Genomic DNA, 5,622 nt, shown 5'->3' with positions numbered 1-5,622 from the left:
ATCTCTTTCACAGTCATAATTCTCTTACTGTCATGAATTTTGCAAAAGTGGTTTCATTACCTCTCTGCTGTTGCTGCACTTGAACCTTCACTTCAGTCTTGTTGGACAATGAGTTTCCAAAATGCTACTCTTGAGTAAAAATTCTCACCAGTAACTTTTACTAATCCAAATCTAGTTCCTCTACAAATTTAGAACAACATTCAAAATAGTGAATAATTCAGTAACTATCTAAAGTGCATAAACACTCTCCTATAATTTATTTGCTTTTTACAACTGAGAAAGTTGAACCTAGGTAAATGTGTGCCTATGTAGTAAACCTGCACATCCTGCACATATACCTCAGAACATAAAATAAAATTTAAAGAAAGAAAGTTGAGTCCAGGCACTGTGACTCAAGCCTGTAATCCCAGCACTTTGGCAGGCCGAGGTGGGTGGATCACTTGAGGTCAGGAGTTCAAGACCAGCCTGGCCAACATGGTGAAACCCCGTCTCTGCTAAAACTACAAAAATTAGCCAGGCGTGGTGGTGGTGCCTGTAATCCCAGTTACTCAGGAGGCTGAGGCAGGAGAATAGCTTGAACCCGGGAGATGGAGATTGCAGTGAGCTGAGATCATGCTGCTGGACACCAGCCTGGTCGACAGAGTGACAACCTGTCGCAAAAAAAAAAAAAAAAAAAAAAAAAAAAAAAAAGTTGAATCTTAGAGATGTAAGTGAGTTAGCAAAGGAAAAAGAGCCCAGAGATTCAGAGTAAATTCTTCACACCCCTGTGCCAGGATTCCACTGCCAGCTGAGTTTATAACCATTTGCACAGATGGTCATTTTTAATTTTCCTAGGTATATGTATGCAAGTTCAAAGAATGTTGCTCCTTCAAACTCTGAAAGCTATCTTCTTTCAATACTAGAGTGCTCTTTTATTGTTACTCAAAGCTCAATGCTTCTCAACATCTTTCAAATTATTAATTAGTAAGGCAGATAGTTTTAATCAAAGAGAGAGAAGAGATTTCTAATTGAAGTTAGAGAAAATATTTTTTTCCTACAGCAAATTACTTTCACCTCCAAGGGAAAGTAGTTATTCTATTTACACCTATGCTAATGGACACTTTTAAGAAAGAACTTGCAGAATTCAATTTCATTGAATTCACTGTGACTGTAGAAATACACAGGCCTTTGAGGCCACTGCTTGGCTAATGTTTGTATTCTACTGACACCCCAAGAAAGTCGGGAATGGTTGCCTGTGAATACCAACTCCTTTCAGATTGAAATCAGCCAATTACCATTTATATTTGAAGAGTTTTGCGTAATTTGGGAACCATTACAAAAATGTCTGCCCTCCATTCATGAGCCAAAATTTAAATTTGACTAAAGATTCATCCCGATTCAGATTCCAACCAGAGAGTTAAATGGCAGAAAACCCAAACATATCCTCTGAAAATCAGTGTAGGATTACAAAAGCTGCTAAAATATCATCACATTCCCCGCCATGACCAGGGTCCAAGGCTAGAATGCCCAGTAAAACACTCCCACTTACAGTTTCATTTTCCAATCTTCTAGCTGAGATGGAAATCATTCTCTACTGCAAATTGCTTTGCTGAAGCAAAAATGAATGGCTTTTCAGGCAAACACCTAACCTTCCAACCTGAAGATTTGCTTTTAAAAAGTTATATTTTTCCTCTTCATGTTAGAGATGAAAGTATCCCAGTAAGCACAGAGTGGGTTTGAATTATGCAGTGCCAGGAAATGTGAAAATAAGTTTAGTGTAAACAATCTCTTAGATTTCATAGTTTGCTGTCTTTTGGGTAATGATGCCAATCTTTTTCTTCCCATGACTGACTGGAGAAACATTTTTTTCTGGATGTTCTAATTAGATTAAGGCTTATGCACATATTAAAATTTAATTCTAATGAATACTGACAGAAATGGAAAATTACTTAGAAATTTGACTCTGAGTCTTAATTATCAATACTTCAGTGTGCTACCCTTTTTTAGGTGTTAGTGGATTCTGGCATATTCCAATAAGTCCATTAGTTAAAGAATACATGATAATTTACTCCTAATATTGACCTAAGCCCTAACGATATTTTAAAAGAAAATATCCACGTCTTTATTGATGTTAGGTCTACAACAGATGTAAATGTAAATGACTTTGCATATGGCAATCTGGCACAAAGAGACCACTTCACTCACACAGTTCAGCAAAAATAAAGGATGGAAAAATAATAACAGGAATGACAAAATAAACTCTCATATGCCACTTAGTATATAAGAGAAAGCATGAGATCAAATGGATACATTAACAAATGCATATTAAAGAAGATACCCCATTAAAATTAAAACATTCTTATGTTGGATAAGACAAGCACAATCCAGCTATATGATTTAATTTAAAAATACTTAAAACATAAATAACAAATAAAAAGTTGAAAGTAAAGCAATAGAAACATAATGCCAGGTAAATAGTGGCAAATAAAAAAACAAGTGTAACTATTAAATTAATATAAAACCCAGGATGAAAACGTAACTGAGAAAAGAGGATTATTTTATAATTATATGTAGTATGATTCTTTAAGAAACTTCAATAGCCATGTAGCAGTCAATGTAGAAATTAAAGAGCAAATTGTCAAAGTCCTTTTGTAGTTGGAGACATTCATCATCTTTTCTCAGAAACTGGTAATTCAAGTTAATTTGAACATATTTGAAATATGCAGGATTTCAAAGACACAATTAACAAAGATAATCTGAAACATTTCCCCAAACTTACAATGCATTCCTTTCAAACACCCATGGATTAATCCCAAAAGTGCTGATGTAGCAGGACTCAGAGAGATTCTTCAAGTTCCTAAGACAAGTATCAGGCATGGGGTTATTCTTGTGGGGAAAGGGACTGTTGGAATTTTTACCTTTACCCCTTCTCTTTCTGTTCCATTTTCTTTTCCAGACTACAGATGCACTTAGTTATTACTTATTTGATTGAATGTAATAGGGAAAATTGCAAAAACTGTATGCTAGGCAAAGAAAAATGTTCTAATTGGATTAATTAATCCATAAACTTATTGCTGGTTTAAAGTACAATGCATTTTCTTTAAGCAGCAGGCGTGGGAATGATAGACCCATAAGAAGTTTGACCACGCGTGATTTTCAGCATCACCCCAAGCCTTACTCTCGGTTCTCTATTGAAACTGGTATCCTATGCATCTTTTTGTTCAATAAGTTTCATTTGTGCTGGATCCTTGGATCTTCAGGAGTCCTTCAAAACATTCAAAATGTAAGAAGAAATATGAAGGGTTATTTGCTTATAAAGGTAAAGAAAATGTTGTCATTATATATAACAGGGATAGCTGGATAATAATACAAAATAATGTACAAGGAATTAGAATAAAGAATTTTATCATTAGAATAATAAAAGGGTCCATGAAGTTTGCTGATGAGTAAATAAGTCTGTAAACCAAGACAAGGCACAGAAAACTAATTTTCCTTTTTGGAAACTGGTATCATAAGCACAGATGGAGATAGTCAATATTTTAGAGGCAAATCTCTCTTGATCTTACATCTATTTGTGAGGTGCACATTCAATTAAATTTCAAATAGAGGCCAGGTGTGGTGGCTCACACCTGTAATCCCAGCACTTTGGGAGGCCGAGGCACGTGGGTCACTTGAAGTCAGGAGTTCGAGACTAGCCTGGCCAATATGGTGAAACCTCGTCTCTACTAAAAATACAAAAATTAGCCAGGTGTGGTTGTGGGTGCCTGTAATCCCAGATGCTCTGGAGGCTGAGGCAGGAGAATTGCTTGAACTTTGCAGGCAGAGGTTGCAGTGAACCGAGATCATGCCACTGCACTCCAGCCTGGGCAAAAGAGTGAGACTATAAAAAAAAAAAATCAAATAGAATAGTTTCAGTTATCAATAGTTGTATAATACATGAGCCCAAAAGTTAGTGACTGAAGACAACCACACTATTTGTTCATAAATTTATATAGATCAGGGGTTTGAGATTAGCTAGAATGGGGGAAGAGGTTCTTCTACTATTCATGGTGATGGTTGCTGAACTGCCTTTGCAAAAATTGTAACTGAGGAAATTATGACAGTGAAAGAGATCAGACCTAACTGACTCCATCTTGCTTCTAACGTTTAACCTGTCCTTGATTATTTCTGGGCATAGACAGAACTAACTTTGAGAAAGAATTTAGTTCATAATTTAACTCTGACACAAAATTGATAACAGCTCTTCCCCGCCCCTCCCCCACAAAAAACCTTTCTTGCCTGGGAACCAATCTGCCTTTGCAGTACTTACAAATTAGCTACAAAATTAGAAATTACTGTTTAGGGGCCAGGCAGTCTCTGGCTGCCAGAGTCTGAACCTCCCCAAATTGCTCCTGGGCATGACATCACTATTGTAAAATCTAAGATTCATGCTTCAGGTATTTTGCAGGCCCTGCACTGGATGCACCAGCTTACACCACCCAGACCAGTAATGTGGCTCAACCAGTTCTGCGATCCCACCCAGGAACAAGACAGCAAGAAAACCTCACTTTGACCCACTTTGATTATATCTCCAACCCAACCAATCAGCACTCCCCACTTCCTGAGCCCCTACCCACCAAATTATCCCTAAAAACTCCAATCCCTGAATGCTCACATAGACCAATTTGAGTAACAATAAAACTCCAGTCTCCCACACAACCAGCTCTGAATGAATTACTCTTTCTCCATTGCAATTCCTCTGTCTTGATAAATTGGCTCTGTCTAGCAAGAGGGCAAGGTGAGCCTGTTGGGTGGTTACATTGGGGCATTTATTTAGCTGCTTCAAATGATGGCTTGTCTGGGGTACAAGGTTTAATAAGGTTTCACTCATGTGTCCAGCTGAGAGATTGTTAGTGGAGAGCAAAGCTGAGGCTGCTGGCCAGAGTCTATGGTTCTTCTCCATGTGAATCTCTCCTCATGATGGCTTGAGCTTCCTTACAGCATGGTGGTTGAGTTCCAAAGAGTGTTCACAGCAGCAAAGGTGAGGTCTGCAGATGTCTGGAATCCCATCTTAGGAAATGACATAGTTTCACTTTCACCACATTTTACTGATCAAAGCAGAGCCTAGGGTCAGCCCAGTTTCAAGAAAGAACTGCAGTATTTAATGTCAAGACAACATTGCTAAAGAATTTATGAGGTGGGAGAATGGGACATCTTTGGAAACAGAATTCACCATGCACATTTTTCATGGGACTTGACTACGTAATCATAAATAGACTTATTATGAAGCTCTAGCAAATTAATACAGTGCAAACTGTTTTAAGAATATAAAGAAAATTAAAAATTTGAGAGCATAGAATGAGATGTATGCACAGATTGTCATTGAAAGACATATGTGTCATAAATATAGACACATGGTATTATAAATAAAAGATGAAATTTTGCAATTTCCACAAATGTGAGGCAATTGGTTATCATATGGAAAAGAAAACAAAATAGCTACTCACAATAAATTAAATATACATTAACTAACTAAAACTTCAAAAAAATTAATTTATGAATTGAATAATTTTTATAATAGAAGATGAAAAAAGTGCAAATATTAAATGAAAGAATGATAAAATGGATTTTGAAATAAAATCTTGTGGTCAAGCCAGCACGGTG

The 5,622-nt window shown here is 36.7% G+C and overlaps 1 annotated feature.

Annotated features, from left to right (window-relative positions):
* Positions 811 to 1,652: an enhancer, noted in NCBI's record as "OCT4-NANOG-H3K27ac hESC enhancer chrX:4300102-4300943 (GRCh37/hg19 assembly coordinates)". NCBI's record gives its function as "activates a minimal SCP1, AML or CMV promoter by ChIP-STARR-seq in naive H9 embryonic stem cells {active_cell/tissue: H9 hESC(naive)}" and the evidence as "EXISTENCE:reporter gene assay evidence [ECO:0000049][PMID:30033119]".

Source organism: Homo sapiens, chromosome X, assembly GCF_000001405.40.
Source record: "Homo sapiens chromosome X, GRCh38.p14 Primary Assembly".
NCBI classification, from domain to species: domain Eukaryota; kingdom Metazoa; phylum Chordata; class Mammalia; order Primates; family Hominidae; genus Homo; species Homo sapiens.
Note: the sequence above shows the minus strand (reverse complement) of the source record. Positions and strands in the feature narration are given on the sequence as shown.